General features: G+C 39.3%; 2 protein-coding genes and 1 non-coding gene across 3 annotated transcripts in view, besides 1 other annotated feature; 2 read left to right on the top strand and 1 right to left on the bottom strand.

Moving 5' to 3' along the window:
- Positions 1–19,988, top strand: part of SMARCC1 (SWI/SNF related BAF chromatin remodeling complex subunit C1) — a 196,625-nt gene that overhangs the window by 105,273 nt on the left and 71,364 nt on the right. Inside the window, exons 18-21 of the mRNA NM_003074.4 lie at positions 1,033–1,146; positions 5,904–5,963; positions 14,029–14,287; positions 15,166–15,327. Of these exons, the coding sequence (NP_003065.3) occupies positions 1,033–1,146; positions 5,904–5,963; positions 14,029–14,287; positions 15,166–15,327 (595 nt within the window). The remainder of the gene's footprint in view (positions 1–1,032; positions 1,147–5,903; positions 5,964–14,028; positions 14,288–15,165; positions 15,328–19,988) is intronic.
- Positions 7,838–8,041: a silencer, noted in NCBI's record as "fragment chr3:47710070-47710273 (GRCh37/hg19 assembly coordinates)". NCBI's record gives its function as "represses an EF-1alpha promoter that drives an FKBP-Casp9 reporter gene in an ReSE screen in K562 erythroleukemia cells {active_cell/tissue: K562}" and the evidence as "EXISTENCE:reporter gene assay evidence [ECO:0000049][PMID:32094911]".
- Positions 12,687–13,901, bottom strand: HIGD2AP2 (HIGD2A pseudogene 2). The gene is made up of 2 exons (XM_047449430.1): positions 13,870–13,901; positions 12,687–13,008 (listed from the first exon to the last, which is right to left on the bottom strand). The coding sequence occupies exons 1-2, from the start codon at positions 13,899–13,901 to the stop codon at positions 12,687–12,689; spliced, it is 354 nt and encodes a 117-aa protein (XP_047305386.1).
- On the top strand, positions 14,927–15,056 carry SNORD146 (small nucleolar RNA, C/D box 146). Its single transcript, NR_145791.1, has one exon. It is a non-coding gene; the product is annotated as a small nucleolar RNA, C/D box 146 (small nucleolar RNA).

Genomic DNA, 19,988 nt, shown 5'->3' with positions numbered 1-19,988 from the left:
ATGTTGACTTTTCATCAGACCTGGATAGTAACAAATGGCCATTTATAGCATATCTATTTAGAAACAATTATTATTATACTATAATGCTATTATTAGTGCTATTTCTTTGATCCTTGCTTGTGTGTGTATTTTGGTGTACTGTAAATATTACAGTCCAAAAGAATATATAGTGTTTAAGTTAATGCTGTCCCACCAATCCCAAGACCGAATGCCTTACTCTGTCAAATTATTAATTTACTTTTATATGCATAAAAGTAAATTATCCTTCTGTCATCAAAAAGACACTCATAAGTAAGCAGATGATGCAAAATCTTCTTTCCCTTCCTTCAATCTGTGTTCTAGAAATGTGAAGCAAAGAAATCTTTATAACTTGTCCTAAGATTTGTAAAGTGTATATCCATATATACATTATCAAAACAGATTATGTCAAACAAATTATATATAGCATTAAGTTGGATTCACAGGAACCTAAGGTATAAATTTTGTCCCATTGTGAAATAGAAGATAGTAATGAAAATTTGTTATCCTTTCTGGGATTTAAAGGGACACCAAAATGTGACTTATATGTTGAATTTTTGTTAGAAGTATAGTGTAGAAGTGTGGGTATTTATTGTTTTTTGTAGGAAATCCACCAAGAGTGGTTTAAGTGCCAATATTAAACTTTTTTTTTTTTTTTGAGACGGAATCTTGCACTGTTCCCCCGGCTGGAGTGCAGTGGCATGATCTTGGTTCGCTGCAACTTCCACCTCTGGGTTATAAGCAATTCTACTGCCTCAGCCTCCTGAGTAGCTGAGATTATAGGCACGTGCCACCACGCCCGGCTAATTTTTGTATTTTTAGTAGAGACGGGTTTCACCACGTTGGTCAGGCTGGTCTTGAACTCCTGACCTTGTGATCCGCCTGCCTCGGCCTCCCAAAGTGCTGGGATTATAGGTGTGAGCCACGGCGCCTGGCCCAAACAAATTTTTAAAAACATTTACCCTCTTGACTTTAAAGAGGCTAACTCAGCCATTTATCATTTATTTGACTCAGGTTCCTGCTGCTCAACAGATGCTAAATTTTCCTGAGAAAAACAAGGAAAAACCAGTTGATTTGCAGAACTTTGGTCTCCGTACTGACATTTACTCCAAGAAAACATTAGCAAAGGTAATTTTTCTAATCACACATGGGCTGCAATCCAGCACATCTTAGTCCTTCTAAGATACATCTAATGAGCTTTCTACTCAAATCTGATGGTATTTTTAAAAACAATTATGATTTATCTTACCTTTTATATTCCTATATGACTTAGTAGATAGGTATTTTAAAAATAACACTATTAGAGAAATTCGAGGGGAAAATGGAGAATTTGAAGAGAGAATTAGAATCTGTAAAAAGAATCATGAATATTTTAGAACTGAAAAGTATACTTGAAATTATTTGATAGGTTTAATAACGACTGCATACAGCAGAAGACAGGTTAGTGAACTCAGAGACAAATTAGTAGATATATTGAAACTAAAGTACCAAGAGAAAAAATTGGATTGAGGTAGGGAGGGGCCAGGACAAAGAGAGGAGAGTGGAACAGATATGTGAGATAGAGTTCAGGCTGGACACGGTGGCTCACACCTGTAATTTCAGCACTTTGGGAGGCCAAGGCAGGAGGATCACTGGAGCCCCAGAGTTTGAGACCAGCCTGGACAACATAGCAAGACTGTGTCTCTATTATTAAAAGAAGAAAAAGAAAAATGAATGATACAGTCCAAAGAATTAATGTTTATCATTAGAAACCCATAAGAGAATGAATGGAGGAGGAGTGATACTTGAATATATAATGGCTAAAAAGACTTCAGAACAAATAAAAAGATACCAACTCACAAAACAAGAAAGACAGAGCCAGGCCAAGCTCAACACTTTGGGAGGCCAGGGCAGTAGGGTTGTCTGAGGCCAGGAGTTCAAGAGCAGCCTTGCCTCTACTGAAAAACACACACATAAAAAGAACAGATCCAAATTTATATAGAGAGAAGACCACACTCGGGTACATTATGCTTAATTTCTTAAAAACTAACATCTTAAAAGCAGACATGGAGGGTGGGGGCGAGGGTAGAGAAGAACATATTACATTCAAAAGAACAATAATAAAACTGATAGCTGACTTTTCAACAAAAATGATCAAAGCCAAAGGACATTTTTAAATTGGAAAAGAAAAACTATCTATCTGGAATTCTCTATCCAGTAGACATTACTTTCAAAATTGAAGGTGAAATAAAGACGTTTGTAGGCATTCACAATGTACAGAAGTTATCGCTAGCACACAGTATAAGAAAAGTAAAGGAATGTCTTCAGCATGAAGGATAATGATCCCAGATGAAAGCACATGACTCCATGAAGGAATAAGGAGCAGAGAAAAGGGTAATCTGTGTGGTTAAATATAAAGTAATACAGGTTGTTTAAACAATAATATTTGGGATTTATAACGTGTAGAAATTACAAGAATGGCAGAAAGGCAGAAGGAGATTAAATTGAATAAACTGTTACAAAGTTTACATTATTTAGAAACATGACAAAAGTCCTGATTCAGGGTAAACTATAATTTGACACAACAGTTTGGGACCTGACTGGATCTAATGGAAGAATAAAGAGTGATAGAAAAAAGGTCAACATGTGAGTCAGTATAAAAGACATCTTCTGGCCAGGCACAGTGGCTCACACCTGTTTTTGTTAATACAAAATTCAGATCCAAGAAAAACTAACCTATGGTTACAGAAGTCAGACTAGTATATACTTTTGTGAGTGGCTATCAATTGAGTTTTAAAGGAGGGAGCCTTTTGGGTTTTGATTTGAGTATTATTACATTGTCATATAAGTTAAATTGTGTCAAGTTTTATACTAATTTGTGTATTTTATTGTGTATGTATCATACCTCCAGAAATACAAAAGAATTTTTTGTTTTGAGACTGAGTTTGCCCTTTTCTCCCAGGCTGGAGTGAAGTGGCGCGATGTTGGCTCACTGCAACCTCCACCTCCACGGTTCAAGTGATTCTCCTGCCTTAGCCTCCCAAATAGCTGGGATTACAGGCGTGTGCCACCACGCCTGGCTAATTTTTGTATTTTTAGTAGAGACAGGGTTTCTCCATGTTGACTAGGCTGGTCTTTGAACTCCTGACCTTAGGTTATCCACCCACATTGGCCTCCCGGTGTGCTCTGATTACAGGCCTGAGCCACTGGCCTGCCCCCCCCCCACCCTTTTTTTTTTGAGACAGAGTCTCGCTCTGTCGCCCAAGCTGGAGTGCGGTGGCGCAGTCTCCCCTGCAACCTCTGCCTCCCGGGTTCGACCAGTTCTCCTGCCTCAGCCTCCCAAAGTGGTGGGATTACAGGTGTGAGCCACCACACCCGGCTTTTTTTTTATTTTTATTTTTTTAAAGAGAGAACATCTCACTGTGTTGTCCTGGTTTGTCTTGAACTCCTGAGCTCCAGTGATCGACCTTTTTTACCTTCCAGAGTGCTAGGATTACAAGCATGAACCACCATGCTCAGCCTAATACAAGAAAAAAATATTTTAAAATCATATGAAAGCTTCAGCAGTCATTTTGTGGGCTCTAATGAGGCTTATATTGTAGAGCCAATTGTTATCAAGAGAGGAAACGGGCTGGGCATGGTGAAACCCTGTCTCTACTAAAAAAAAAAATACTGAAACTAGCCAGACATGGTGGCGGCTGCCTGTAATTCCAGCTACTCAGGAGGCTGAAGCTCGAGAGTCGCTTGAACCCAGGAGGAAGAGGTTGCAGTGAGCCGAGTTCATGACACTGCACTCCAGCCTGGGTGACAGAGCAAGACTCCATCTAAAAAAGAAGAAGAAGAAGAAGAAACATTGACTTAAGTCTGTGGGGCAGAAAAAATTCTTTCTACACTTTGTGGCTGAGAAGTGGAGAAATGGTTGTTGAGGACCTATCCTATAAATGTCTGTGTCTAGGTTGTAGAGATCTTCCTTATATTTGCTCAGGTTTTGTTTCTTCAGAATTTAGATTAAATGTTAATGAATTTTGTTCTTCTTGGGGCTCCAAATCTGATTGGTGATTACCTCTGATTTTGGTTTTTTAAAAGAACCTTTGGTTATCTTAAAGTAATCCTTGCGGGGCTGGACGCGGTGGCTCACACCTGTAATCTCAGTACTTTGGGAGGCCGAGGCATGCGGATCACGAGGTCAGGAGATCGAGACCATCCTGGCTAACACGGTGAAACCCTGTCTCTACTAAAAATACAAAAAAATTAGCCGGGCGTGTTGGCGGGCGCCTGTAGTCCCAGCGGCTGAGGCAGGAGAATGGTGTGAACCCGGGAGGCGGAGCTTGCGGTGAGCCAAGATCGTGCCACTGCACTCCAGCCTGGGCAACAGAGCGAGACTCCATCTCAAAAAAAGAAAAGAAAAGTAATCCTTGGGGACCTGAGCTGTATATTCTGCGTTATAGATACAGGCATCTTTTCTTTCTCACAAAGCCATACTGTAGGAGTTTAATTCTTAGTTCTGCAATGCTTAGGTCAACTGTTTATTCTTTAGTTCAAAGACTACTTATTTTTGATGCATTATTTTTTTTTGTGCAAGTGAACAGCGTATGTCAGAATGCTATGAATTGAATGCCCCAGAGATGTAGCAAATCAGGGTTTAATTTTGTTGTTGTTTTATTTTTGTTTTTTCTTTCTTCCTTCATACAGAATGTAATTTTTTTCATGCAGTGTGTAGCACTAATGCACTGAGAGTTTTAATTATCTAAACTGAGAAACTTTATTGACATATACAGGAAAATCACAGATTGTAGAAATGTTTATTTATTAAATGGTAATCTCTCAAAATAGAGTTTTGAGAGAGGGAAATATGTTAGAATGTATATTTTGAATTAGTAATGTTTATAGCTGCATGATAGTATCAGCTATACTACAAATCAAGTCCCCTGAAGATGAGTGAATGCAGCAGGGTCTGCAGATAAAGAAGTATGAATTAATCAATTAAATTTTAGTTTTTACACAAGCCAGTCTCACTTCTGTTATACTCACATCGTCACATGAATCATAAACTATAAGGGACTCACATGGAAAAGGTGATTTTGAGTTTAGGGACTCACTTGGAGATTCTTTCATAATTGAGAAATGTTTTAAAATGAGATAATATGGGCTTATTGCAGTTGGAATCAAGAACCTGTCAGTGTTTTACGTGTGTAGTACATCTGATCCTTGAATCGTGGAAGAAGTAGTCTCTTCAAGTTATTACCAAGATGTGTACTATGTTTGTGATATTACAGCTGATTTATGGTATGCAGTAAAACAATATGCCTTTTTAGCTTGCCAAAGATACTGTTAAGTATCAAAATAATAGAAATAACATATCCAAATAGTTATGGGTCCTTGTTTGACAGCAGGAAGTCTTTTTTGGTTTTGGTTTTTGTGTGTGTTTTTTTTTTTTTTTTTTTTTTTTTGAGATAGTCTCGCTCTGTTGCCCAGGCTGGAGTGCAATGGTGCGGTCTTGGCTCACTGCAACCTCTGCCTCCTGGGTTCTCTTGCCTCAGTCACTGGAGCAGCTGGGACTATAGGCATGAACCACCACTCTCGGCTAATTTTTGTATTTTTAGTAGAGATGGGGTTTCACCGTGTTGGCCAGGCTTGTCTAGAACTCCTGACCTCAAGTGATCCACCCACCTTGCCCTCCCAAGGGCTGAGATTACAGGCAGGAGCTACCACGCCTGGCCAGTCTTTGAAATAAGCCAGCATTTCTTATAGAAGTTTAGGCTCCTTAAAGTGTTTTATTCCTGTTAGTCAAAGACTTACCATGATAGTTTGCGTAACACAGTCCCCTGAGCTTGGAAAGGAATTCTACTGAGCTCCATCTTCAGCATTTAAAAATGAGCAAATAATTTCTGATTTTGTTTCCTTAGAGTAAAGGTGCTAGTGCTGGAAGAGAATGGACTGAACAGGAGACCCTTCTACTCCTGGAGGTAAGCAGATTAATGCATATGGGATGTGTGCTAAGATTCTTTGACTAGCATTTTATTTTGTTTTGTTTTATTTAGAGGCAGGGTCTCGCTGTGTCACCCAGGCTGGAGTGCAGTGGCCTGATGGTAGCTCAGTGCAGCCTCTACCTCCCAGGCTCAGGCGATCCTCTTACCTTCAGTCCTGAATAGCTGGGACTAAGGGCGTGTGCCACCATGCCTGGCTAATTTTTGTATTTTTTGTAGCAATGGGCTTTCACCATGTTGTCCAGGCTGGTCTCAAACTCCTGGACTCAAGCAATCCTCCCACCTTGGCCTCCCAAAGTTCTGGCATGAACCACTGTGCCTGGCCTGTGACTAGCATTTTAAACTCACCTATAGTATTCTGTTTTAAAAAGTGTCCACTGGAGCTCAAAACTCAATCACAAATGTGTTTTCCTTTAGAACAGCCATCATGCTTTGATAGTTGATACTTAAATCCTTTTCTGTGTCTCCATGTAGTTAGGTATTGAGATGATTAAATTGATAATTTTTATAGATTCATTGAGGATGTTTAAGTGAAGCTAATTCCTAATCACAAAATAAGTTGTGAATGTGTGACAATTAGAAATAAAGTGACTACTAAGACAATTGGTGTCATTGCCTGGATTTATCCTAAGATGTCGCTGCTCCTTTTGCACCATGAATGCAAATGTCAACATAATGAAAAAGGCAGTAGTGTCTTAGTATTATCAAGGAAATTGTTTGACATCGCAGTCCTCCTAAAAGAGCCTGGTGCCCTCTGGGTTCCCAGACCACATAGAGTGGACTTGGTGACATTTTGGTTGCTGTACTGCTTTGATGGTTTTTCAGGTTGTTCCAATAGTTGTAATTACTGTAGAAGTATCATTGGTGCATCATCAAACTATTTCCATTTCTTTTTTGTATTCCTCTTTTACTTTTTCTTGCTGTTTTCTGGTTCTCCCCCCAACCTTATCTTTCTCTGTTGTGATCAAAATCAAAACAATCCCTTGTTTTGTGTTTTTTTGCCTCTATTTTAATATATTCTCATATGCCCATTCAGTATCAGTGATACGCAGAGAGCTTTGCTGACTCACTTTTTACTTATTTATTTAACTATCTTTCCTATGGTACTGACTGACTCACTTTCAATTTCAGGACTATTTTGTATAGCCATATCTACTAGATTTTAATATTAATTAAAATGAACCGTGTTTTCAGTACTTGTGGGTGACTATAAACACACTTTTGTATTGCTATTTTGGAATCTTTGGGCTCTGGAGAGAAAGTAAGTTGTATAACAATGACTGGAGCAACAGTTGTTCTTTTTCCTGCTGCACATTGATGCTGGAACTTTTCTCCTTTTTCACATTTAAGATTAGTAGGTAGTAAAAGTGAGGTAAGAATGACTGAGCTACTGTTGACACTAAAGACATCCAAGAAAACCACAGTATTACACAACAGTGCATTTTCTCTCCTTCAGGTGGAATCTGTGAAGTGTTTGATTTTTCTTTTAATCTTGCAATTCAGTCAACAGGAATTGTTTGCAATAACACAAAGAGAAATAAAAGACTTCTCCACATCAGTGTTTACCACTAACATCTTCGATTTATATAGTTTATTTAGAGATACTTAATAGCTTAAGAATATGAAGTCAGATGAGTATTTTTAAATGGATTTATAATCAAATATAGTCTCTTTCTAATAAATCGATAAATCTGGTAGACTCATTGGGGTTTGCTGTTTTCAAAATAGCATCGTACCTTTTTTTTTTTTTTAAGACAGGGTTTTTCTCCCTTCCCCCATGCTAGTGTGCAGTAGCGCAGTCTCAGTCCACTGCAGCCTCAATTTCCCGAGCTCAGGCGATCCTCCCAGCTCAGCCTCTCGAGTAGCTGGGACTACAGGTGTGCACCACCATGCCTGGCTAGTTTTTTTGTATTTTTAATAGAGATGGGGTTTCACCATGTTGCTCAGGCTGGCATACTATTTTATTAAACAAATATACCACACAGGCAGCATTCCAAATATTTATCGTATTCTTGAGCACACCCCTTTGATTTTTAAAAGACCTTGTTTCATAAAGTCTTTTATCAAAGCACAGCTTTTGGGTAAATGCTGAAGGTTAATATCTGGTTATGTTCATTTCCTTGTTATCTTATTGTAAATATTGGAGGCAACATTTCAATTTTGGAAATAGTCAAAGTGGAATGTATACGATAGATGAAGGAATGCAGTTTGAAAAAGAAAAATCTTTAATCGGTAGAAATGAAGGATAATGTAAGGTTTTATATTAACGTTTTAAAAAGAAATTACTCTGTAAGATCAAGATGATGATGGCCTGTTTGAATAAGACTTCAGTTGTAAAAAGGTGTGGGGAATTTCTACTTGAAAATATGTCATTAGAATGAGTAGGCCTATAAAGTCTAAAGTTTGAGGTAAAAAAACAAAACAGCACAACAAGAATAAGTAGCTATAAAAGGCCATGACAGTCTTTATGGAAGTTTGAAATTCTGTTGATATAATCAGGGCACCAGAATGAAAGAGAGATAATGGAGCCACTCTATTCCACAGTGACTAAAGAATTTTTTTTCAAGTTAATATATATGTACATGCGTATCTATATATATATGCACATATTTATTTATTTAATATAGAGGCAGGGTTTTGCTATGCTGTCCATGCTGGTCTTGAACTCCTGGTCTCTAGTGATCCTCCTGCCTCAGCCTCCCAGAGTACTTAGATTACAGACGTGAGCCACTGTACTGGGTTCACAGTTTCTTTTTTCTTTGAGAAGGAATCTCACTCTGTCACCAGGCTGGAGTGCAGTGACATGATCTCAGCTCACTGCAACCTCTGCCTCCTGGGTTCACGCAGTTCTTCTGCCTCAGCCTCCCGAGTAGTTGGGACTACAGGCACGCGCCACCATGCCCAGCTAATTTTTGTATTTTCAGAAGACACGGGGTTTCACCATGTTGGCCAGGATGGTCTCGATCTCTTGACCTCGTGATCTGCCCGCCTCAACCTCCCAGAGTGCTGGGATTACAGGCACAAGCCACCGCGCTTGGCCTTCACAATTTCTTTTAAGTCCACAACTGATTGCAGTATTCTTCCTGTTCATTTATAATTATTCTTGGGCTTGAAAGTGACAAGACTTGAATTTGTGAGCTCACTGATTCTCCCGTGATAGCTCTAGTGTTTGTCATGTATGCTTTGCTTTCTCATGCTATTTATTTTCCCTTAGATAATTAATAGACATAAAGGCTATGCCTGCAAAGAAAACTTGTAATTTATTAACATTTATTTATCACTGTAAGAGTTTCTCTCTCTCTCTTTTTTTTTTTTTTTTGAGACGGAGTCTCGCTCTGTCGCCCAGGCTGGAGTGCAGTGGCGTGATCTCGGCTCACTGCAAGCTCCGCCTCCCGGGTTCACACTATTCTCCTGCCTCGGCCTCCCAAGTAGCTGGGACTACAGGTGCCTGCCACCATGCCCGGCTAATTTTTTTGTGTTTTTAGTAGAGACGAGGTTTCACCATGTTAGCCAGGATGGTCTCGATCTCCTGACCTCGTGATCGGCCCACCTCAGCATCCCAAAGTGCTGGGATTACAGGCGTGAGCCACCGTGCCTGGCCCGAGTTTCTCTCATTTTTTATGCCAGCTAAATAATAGGAAACATAGCATTAGAAGATATTCAGTAACCAACATGAAAGATTTCCTCACAGTGTGCATACACTTTACATACTTTTTCTTGATGCAAAACCCAGGAAATATATCATTCTATGTACTTTTGAACTACACTAAGATGCATAGTAAATCTTCTATTAAAAAACTTTTCTTAAGGACAGAGATGTCCAATCTTTGGCTTCCCTGGGCCACATTGGGCCACACATAAAATACACTAACACTAACAATAGCTGATGAGCTTAAAAAAAAATCCCCCCAAAAAATCATAGTGTTTTAAGAAAGTTTATGAATTTGTATGGGCCACATTCAGCGCCATCCTGGGCCACATGTAGGCTGCAGGCCACAGGTTGGACAAGCTTGGTTTAGCTAAGAGAACCTTTTTTTTTTTTTTTTTTAATTAGGAAAACAGTCTGCCTTTTTACATTTGAGAGCCATAGCAAAGTCAGATTTATTTCTTGGTTTAGTTCAGTTTCCTGTGGTTTGAGTTCAGTAAACTTTATTAGGTATTGTGTTTTGGACACTGACAGACACTGCAGGTAGAGATCTGTAGAACACAATCTGTACCTTTAAGGAATTCATAGTCTGCTTAAGTGACAGAGAAAGATAAAACACAAAGCTTGAATGCGGAATTCCCAGCTTTATGATTAGAGGTATGTCCAGAGCACAAGAGCTGTACAGAGGAGTTGCTTTGCAAACAAGCCAGGTAGATAAGACATAATGAACAGGCTTCTGGGAATGGTATAGCTGTGTTGGTCCTAAAACATGATGTTTCCAGTGCAGAACAAATGGTTCATAGGCACAATACCTAGTAGGAATAGATCAGTGGGGCCTGTGTATTGTTGAAACGTGAAGAGTAGGGAATAGGGCGGGAGAAGTAGGCAGTGTCCTGATCATGTTTGGCTTAATTTCATAAGATAATGACACATAATAAAATAGTTTTAGGCAGGAGAGAAAGAGTGTTTTATGTAAAACATATTTCACCCTAGCAGCGTGGAGAAGGATGAAATTACTATAGAAAGGTAATTATAATAATCGATCTATGAGGCTGAGATGGAAGGATTGCTTGAGGCCAGGAATTGGACAGCAGCTTGGGCAACATAGCAAGACCGTGTCTCACAAAAAAAAAAAAAAGAGAGTGAGTGAGTGTATCCAGGTTAAGTAATGATGAAGACCTGAACCTGGGTTATGGCAGGATGAATGAAGCTGTTTTGTAGCATTATAAGATACTTACTAAAAACTTTCATTGAATCATCCTCCTTCCTGGCCAGTGTGTCACCGCATTATTCTCTTTTCAAAACATCACTTTAATTTGCCTCTCTTATTAGCATTATTATCAGTTCCTAGGCTCAGACATTTACAGATTCTCAACTCTGTGCTCTTCTGGATGCTGAGTCTTGCTTGGATTTTGTATCTCAGAAGTTTCCCCAACTCCACCTTTATTCTGGAAAAAAACTTGATGAACTTTCTTATTGTTCCCTGGCGAAAGGAACATGAAAAAATATTTTTTAATTAAAAATTTCATTGGAAAAGGGCATGATAGAGCATGTCTAGAAAATCCCTATTTATAATTAGAAACATAATACAGCCCCAGTAGATATATTTCTACTTCCGTGGACCCGAGTGAGATTTATTTTTCTTTTTTCTTACAATCTGGATCTTTCAAAAAGTAATTCCTTCTCGAACTACCTGAGGTTACTGAATATCCAGAGGAAACCCAGAATTAGCCTAGTTTTTCAAGGGATTTAATGTGTCAGGCCATTTGCTGGCTTGGGTTTTGAGAAGTCCTCTACCATTCCAGCAGAAATGAAAGCCTGAGCAGCAGTTGGAACCCAGAGTTAAGAATTAATTGATGTCCAGGTGCAGTGTTTCACACCTGTAATCTCAGCACTTTGGGAGGCTGAGGCGGGAGGATTCCTTGAGTTCAGAAGTCCGTGACCATCCTGGGCAATACAGTGAGAACATGTCTCTAAAAATTAAGAAAAAAAAATCTTTGAAGTAAAATAATTAACTGAAAAAGTAAACATGGAGACAACTATTGTTATAGAAAGCTCAATCTCACAGTGTAGAGCAGCAAATTAGGCTCTAATGCAAGGTTTTTCAGTTGGAGCATTCAATATTGACATTTGGGCCAGATTTTTTTGTTGTTGGGGTGGAGGGTTCATATATGTTTTACAGCATACATGGCCCCTCCTTGCTGTTAGATACCAGCAGCACTTCTCCAGTTGGGTCAACCAAAAATGTCTGCAGACATTGCCAGTGTCCTCAAGGGGGCAAAAATTACCCTTCATTGAGAACCATGGTCCTGGAGAGAATGGTGTGAGAGTAGCAACTTCAGTATGCCACTAAATAAATTCTTTTTATCCAATTAATTCCTCAACATTCTTAGCACCACATAGTTGTGGTTTTCTTTCTACTGTTCTATCCGTTTTTCCCTCGGAGACTCCTTTTACTCTTTTTGTTGGTTTCTTTCAGGATTTTCTCTGAAAAAATAATAAATTATAAAACTAGAAATGTATGTAGTTTATAAATTTTAGAATCAGTTTATCAATTTCTACTAAAAAGAAGCCTACTTGGAGTTTGACTGGAATTGTATTGAATCTGTAGTTCAACTTGGAAAGAACTGACATCTTAATACTGAGACTTCTAATGAATGAACACAATATATCTCTTCCTTTATTTGGGTCTTTGAGTTCTCTCATGTTTTACTCATTCTAGTCTGTTGCTCTTATACATTCTTTATTATGTTTATTCCTCCTAAGTATCTCATTATGCTATTTAAGACAGGGTCTTTTTTTTTTTTTTTTTAGAGTTTATTAAGCAGGGGAGTGGAGGGGAGATGTGGCACAAATAGAAGTATGTAACATTCAAACAACAGAAACTAGGATTTTTGAAAAAACTTTCAGTTACAGTTACGCAAAGGGTCACTTCCTCCCCCAACGACGCATGGGCCTCTCAAAGGAGAGGAGGGAGTAAGTCCCATGGTAGGGCCAGTGCTTGCTCCTGGGTTTTGGAATCATTTCTGCGGAGCTTTCAAAGCCAGACCCTGGGCTCAGGGTTGAGACTTCATAGCGGTGACAGCTAGACCCAGCAAGATGGCTGTGACCGTGAAACCCTGGGCGGCGATCCAGGTGCACATCATGAGCTGAGAGCGCTGGCTGTTGCCCCGGTGGAAGGAATAGAGGCTGTAGGTGAGGGCGGCCGCCGTGGCCAGGCAACCTATGGGTACCACCGGGTTCTCGTGGGTCTTGTGAAGGAACTTTTCCTTGAAACTCTCTGGATTCCTGTAAACAGTGGGGCTAAGCCCCTCAATGACTGGGGGCTTCGATGGTTCAAAGGGGACCTCTGGAATCACAGGGCCGGAGTCGCCATGTCTGGGCCACAGCAGCAGGAGAAAATCGCGACCTAAGACAGGGTCTTGCTGTGTTTGTCAGGCTGGCCTTGAACCCCTGGGCTCAAGAGATCCTCTCGCCTCAGCCCCCTGAGTAGCTGGGAGTACAGATGTGTGCCACTACACCCAGCTTTTATGTTATTTTAAATACTTTTTTCTTCCTATTTAAAATTGTTCATTGCTATTATGTATGGAAATATAGTTCAGTTTCTCTATTGCCCTTCTATCCTGTGACTTTGCTCAGCTATTCAGTTTTAGTACTTTTTTTTATAGCTTCCTTAGAATTTTCTACATAAACAGTCATGTCTGTATGTATTAGTAAAAAAGCCCTTCCTTCCTTCCTTCCTTCCTTCCTTCCTTCCTTCCTTCCTTCCTTCCTTCCTCCCCTCCCCTCCCCACCCCTCCCCTCCCCTCTCCCCTCCTCTCCCCTACCCTCCCTTCCCTCCTTTCCTTCCTCCCTCCCTCCCTCCCTTCCTTCCCTCCCTCCCTCCCTCCCTCTTTTCTTTTGTTTCTTCTTTTCTTTCTTTCTATCACTCTTGCCGCCTAGGCTGGAATGCAGTGGCACAATCTCGGCTCACTGCAACTTCTGCCTCCCAGGTTCAAGCGATTCTGGTGCCTCAGTCTCCTGAGTAGCTGGGATTACAGGCACGCACCACCATGCCCAGCTAATTTTTGTATTTTTAGTAGAGATGGGGTTTCACCATGTTATTGGCCAGGCTGCTCTCGAACTCCTGACCTCAGGTGATCTGCCCACCTCTGCCTCCCAAAGTGCTGAGATTATACGCGTGAGCCACCGTGCCTGGACTACTTTCTTTACAGTATGCATGTCTTTTATTTATTTTACTTGCCTGATTGAAAATAATCTAAGGAAACCATCAAATCTTTCTATTTATGCATAAATATTTGCATTAATTTTTTTTAAAAAAGCTATCTAAAGAACTTCTAATATTACACATTACTTTCTTGTTACCTGACATGAAAGCATCTGTTTTTTCTGTCTTAGGCCCTGGAGATGTACAAGGATGATTGGAACAAAGTGTCGGAACATGTTGGAAGTCGTACTCAGGATGAATGCATCCTCCACTTTTTGAGACTTCCCATTGAGGACCCATACCTTGAGAATTCAGATGCTTCCCTTGGGCCTTTGGCCTACCAGCCTGTCCCCTTCAGTCAGTCAGGAAATCCAGTTATGAGTACTGTTGCTTTTTTGGCATCTGTGGTGGACCCTCGCGTGGCATCTGCTGCAGCAAAAGCGGCTTTGGGTATGGACTTCCCTAAACCATCTCCTCAACAGAAAAACTCAGTTTATCCCAATTTAAATATTACCAGCCGTTACATTCATTTCTTTTAATGTAAATAACAAAAATCAGATATTACCTGTGAAAGATACCATATTCTTTATAAAAGTATTACAATATTTGGCTGGACACCAAATTAGCTGGGTGTGGTGGCACATGCCTATAGTCCCAGCTACTTGGGAGGCTGAGGCAGGAGAATCGCTTGAACCCAGGAGGCAGAGGTTGCAGTGAGCCGAGATCGTGCCACTGCACTCCATCCCCTGGGCAATAGAGCAAGACTCCGTCTCAAAAAAAAAAAAAAAGTATTACAAAATTTTTAAGTAATGCACCTTAAAATTAAGAGCTTTAGGAATTGGAGGGACAGAGGTTTTTTATTGTGTATTTTGTGATTAATTTAGAATTTGGTGTAACTAGCAAAGGAAGTCATTTAATATTCATGGGTTACACATTAATTGTAACTAGAACTTTGTCACATCATAGAACTCTTTCTTGGTTTTATGGATGTTTAATCCTTGCTGTTTTTGTTTTTTTGACTTATTAATCTAGTAAGCAGTTAAAATATGGACAGCAGTTTTGATTATTACTGGCATAAGTTGAAAGATCTCTTATTTCAAGGCTCTGTGATGTGTAGGAGAAAATGTAGAACCATAGAATTTCATTATTATTACTATTTTTTGTCTCATTTAGTCCTCTCATTTTTCTGGTATAGAGGGACTGAGAGCCTGAAGAGGTTGCTACACCTAAGACAATAATACTGTGTTGGGTTTCCTGGTGGTGGTTTTACACTGAAGCAAATTTTTGTGCAAAGTTAGATTGCTGTTCCATTTTTATTCTTGAACCAGAGGAGTTTTCTCGGGTCCGGGAGGAGGTACCACTGGAATTGGTTGAAGCTCATGTCAAGAAAGTACAAGAAGCAGCACGAGCCTCTGGGAAAGTGGATCCCACCTACGGTCTGGAGAGCAGCTGCATTGCAGGCACAGGGCCCGATGAGCCAGAGAAGCTTGGTGAGTCACTGCTGCTTTTAAGGGACAGGGTTAATATATGTTTGTATTCCTGTCAGTTTACTCAAATAATTGGGTTTACTTGCACTAAAAAGTGAGTACAATGATCAGTATAAACTTGTCTTTTAAGATTAGTACATGATTTTTTTTCTCTTGTCTGTTTCTTTTGGTAGCTAGAACTAAAAAATTATCTTGTAACTGTTAATGGTATTACAGTTGTGAATTATCTGGTTGCTGTTTGTAGATCCAGGTTTTGAATAGACAGATACAAGAATACTGAAAGATGCATGGAACTGTAGGTGAAAAAAAGAATATTGAAAGGACTTATGATTATGTTAATTTATATGTTGCTGAGTGGGTTTAAATTCATTGTTTTGGGGGTTTTTTTAGCTGAGGAAAAATTCCTGTAACATAAAATTCCTCATTTTAACTGCTTAAAAGTATATAACCTAGTAGCTTCTGCTATATTTACAATGCTGTGTGTCTATCACCACTATCTAATTCCAGAACATTTTCCTCATCCCAATAGGAAGTCACATACTTATTAAGTGGTCACTCCCCATTCCTTTTGCTCTTCAGCTGTGGTACCCACTAACAATCTGCTTTCTGTCTCTATGGGTTTGCCTATTCTGGACATTTAATATAAACAGAATCATATAATATGTGGCCTTTGTGTCTGCTTCTTTGACTTAGCATAATGTTTTCAAGGTTCTTCCATGCTGTAGCATGCATCAGTATCTCATTCTTGTCAGTGCTGATTATTTCTTTGTGTGGATATACCCAATTATATTTATTTGTCAGTTCATGGACATTTTTATTGTTTCCACTTTTTTTTTTTTTTTTTTTTTTTTTAGACAGAGTCTTGCTCTGTCGCCCAGGCTGGAGTGCAGTGGCGCGATCTCAGCTCACTGCAAGCTCTGCCTCCCTGGTTCACGCCATTTTCCTGCTTCAGCCTCCCGAGTAGCTGGGACTACAGGCGCCTGCCACCACGCCCAGCTAATTTTTTGTATTTTTAGTAGAGACAGGGTTTCACCATGTTGGCCAGGATGGTCTCGATCTCCTGACCTCGTGATCTGCCCGCCTCGGCCTCCCAAAGTGCTGGGATTATAAGCATGAGCCACCGCACCTGGCCTATTGTTTCCACTTTTATACTACTATGAAAAATGCTGCTATGAGTACTTATATACAAGCTTTTTTGTGAACTAAGGATTTTCACTTCTTTTGGTTGGGTGTATACCTAGGGGTAGAATTGCTGAGTTATATGGTAATTTTGTTTACCTTTTTGAGAAACTGCCAGCCTGTTTTTCATAGTGGCTATACCATTTTATGTTCTTACCCGTAATGTATAACATTTCTAAGTTTTTCATGTCCTTGTCAATACTTATTTTCCATTTTTACCTGTAATAGCCAATCTAGTGGTTTGATGTTGGGGTTTGTATTTGCATTGATGACTAATCATCTTGAATATCATGTGTTTATTGGCCATTTTTATGTCTGCCTTGGGAAATACCTACTCAGATTCTTGCCCCCCCCCCCTTTTTTTTTTCTTAGTAGACTTTATGTCTTAGAGCAGTTTTAGGTTCATAGCAAAATTCAGTAGACATTACAGAGTTTCTGTATACTGCCTGACTACCCCTACATGCACAGTTTTCCCCACGATCAATACCAGGGTGGTACATTTGTTATAGTTGATAAACCTACTTTAACACATCATCATCAACCACAGTCCAAAGTTTTAGTTTATTCTGTAATTGATTCTCACATGTTGAACCACCCTCCCTTTTTGTTTTTTGGTTTTTATTTTGATAAATCCGACATGGCCTTTGTAAATAATCCATTTAACATGCTATCAGATTTGGTTTGCTAGTCTTTTGTTGAAGATTTTTGCATCTGTATTCATATATTGTTTATAGTTTTCTTTTCCTATGATATCTTTATCTAGTTTTGGTATTACGGTAATAACCAGCCTCAAAGAATAAGTTAGGAATTGTTCTTTTTTTTTTCTTTTTTTTTTATTTTTTATTTATTTATTTTTATTTTTAGAAAAGTTTGAGGAGCATTGGAGTTAATTCTTTAAGTGTTTGGTAATATTCACTGGTAAAGCCATCGTGTCCTGGACTTTTCTTACTTTCTTGATTACTGATTCTGTCTCTCTCTCTCATTTTTTTTTTTTTTTTTTGAGACAGAGTCTCACTCTGTCACCCAGGCTGGAGTGCAATGGTGTGGTCTCAGCTCACTGCAGCCTCCGCCTCCTGGGTTCAAGCAATTCTCCCTGCTCAGCCCCTGGAGTAGCTGGGACTACAGGCTTGTGCCACAACACCCGGCTAATTTTTGTGTTTTTAGTAGAGATGGGGTTTCACTGTGTTGGCCAGGTTGGTCTCGAACTCCTGACCTTGTGATCCACCCGCCTCGGTCTGCCAAAGTGTTGGGATTACAGGTGTAAGCCACCGTGCCTAGCCCTCATTCTGTCTCTTGTTATAATTCTACCAAGATTTAAACATTTCTTAATGAGTCAGTTTTGGTAGTTTGTGTCTTATAGGAATTTATTCGTTTCATGTAGATTATCTAATTTGTTGGCAAAAAATTTATAACAACAAAAAGGGGAAACAACTGGAATGTCCATCATCTGATATGTGATAAGCAAAATGTGGTATATCCATACAATGGAATATTACTTGGCTGTAAAAAGGAATGAAGTGTTTACATTTGCCACATGATGGATGAATTTTGAAACATTTGGTAAGTGAAAAGCCAGTGAAAATAGCCAATATATTATATGATTGCATTTATAAGAAATGTCCTGAAGAGGGAAATCTATAAAAACAAAGTAGATTAATGGTTGCTCTGCATAAGCGGAATGGAGGATTGGGGGTTGATAGCAAAAGGATATCTCTTTGAAGTAACGAAAATGTTTTAAGTTTTACCATGGGGATGGTTGCACGTATCTGTTGATATACTTAATTTAATTGACTTGTACTCCTTCAATGGGTGAATTTTATATTATGTGAATTACATCTCAATAAATGGGTGAATTCTATAGTATGTGAATTATATCTCAAAGCTATTTTTTTAAGTTCACAGTGTTCTCTCATAACTGTTGATAGTAATGTCCTCATTTTCATTACTGATTATAGTAATTTCATCCACTTGCTTTTCTTGTTTTAAAGTCAGACAAGATAAAGGCTTGTCAATTTTGTCTCTTCAAAGAACCAGCTTTTTTGTTTCATTGATTCTCTGTTTTTCTGTTCTATAATTTCTCTCCACTCTAATCGTCATTTTTTCCTTCTGCTTGCTTTGGGTTAAATTTGCTTTTTTCCTGGTTGTTTTAAGGTAGAGTATGTTATTTGAGATCTTATTTAGTAATGTAGGTGTTTACAGCTGTATAAATTTCCCTCAGCACTGCTTTTGCGACATTCTATAAGTTTTGCTGTATTTATTTATGTTTCCATTCTTCTCAAGTACTTTGTAATTTCTTTTTTTTTTGAGACAGAGTTTCTCTGTTGTTGCCTAGGCTGAAGTGCAGTGGTGTGATCTTGGCTTACTGCAACCTCTGCCTCCCAGGTTCAAGCCATTCTCTTGCCTCAGCCTCCCGAGTACCTGGATTACAGGCACCCGCCACCACTCCTGGCTTATTTTTGTTGGTGTGTGTGTGTGTTTTTAAGTAGAGATGGGGTTTCACTATGTTGGCCAGGCTCATCTCGGAACTCCTGACCTCAGGTGATCCACCTGCCTTGGCCTCCCAAAGTGCTGGGAGTACAGGCGTGAGCCACTGAGCCCAGCCCCTGTACTTTGTAATTTCTGTTGTGATTTCTTCTTTGACCCACTGGCTATTTTAAGAGGATGTTATTGTGAATTTTCATAAATTTGTGAACTTTAAAGATTTTCTTCTTTTACTGATTTTTAGTTACATTTCGTTGTAATCAGAGAAGGTAATTTGTGTGATTTCCGTATTTTTAAATTAAGACTTGTTTTGTTGCCTAACATGTGGTCTATTCTAGACAACATTCTTTGTGCATTTGAGAAAAATATGTTTTCTGCTCTTATTGGATAGGGTTGTTCAAGTTGTCTACTTCCTTGTTTATCTTTTGCATACCTCTCTCCTTTATTGAAAGTGGGGTATTGAAATCTCCAACTATTATTGTTGAATTATTTCTTCCTTCAGTTCTGTTTTTGCTTTATGTATTTAGAGACTCTGTTGTTGCTTATATGTTTATAATTGTTACATCTTTTTGATGTATTGAACCTTTTATCTTTTACAGAATGTCCTTTTTGTCTTATATAACGTTTTGTGTCTTAAAGTCTATCTTACCTGATATTAGCGTGCCATTTCAGATGTTTTTAGGTTTGTTTACTTTTGTTGTTGTTGTTGTTGTTGTTGAGATGGAGTCTGACTCTGTTGCCCAGGCTAGAGTTTAGTGGCATGCTCTTGGCTTACTGCAACCTCAGCCTCCACCTCCTGGGCTCAAGTGATCCTCCTGCCTTAGCCTCTCAAGTAGCTGGGACTACAGGCGCATACCACCATGCCCTGCTAATTTTTGTATTTTTAGTAGAGACGGGGTTTCACCATATTTCCTGGCTGGTCTCGAACTCCTTGGCTCAAGTGATCCACCCATGTCTGCCTCCCAAAGTGCTGGGATTACAGGCATGAGCCACCATGCCAGACC

This window comes from Homo sapiens, chromosome 3, assembly GCF_000001405.40.
Source record: "Homo sapiens chromosome 3, GRCh38.p14 Primary Assembly".
Lineage (NCBI taxonomy): Eukaryota > Metazoa > Chordata > Mammalia > Primates > Hominidae > Homo > Homo sapiens.
Note: the sequence above shows the minus strand (reverse complement) of the source record. Positions and strands in the feature narration are given on the sequence as shown.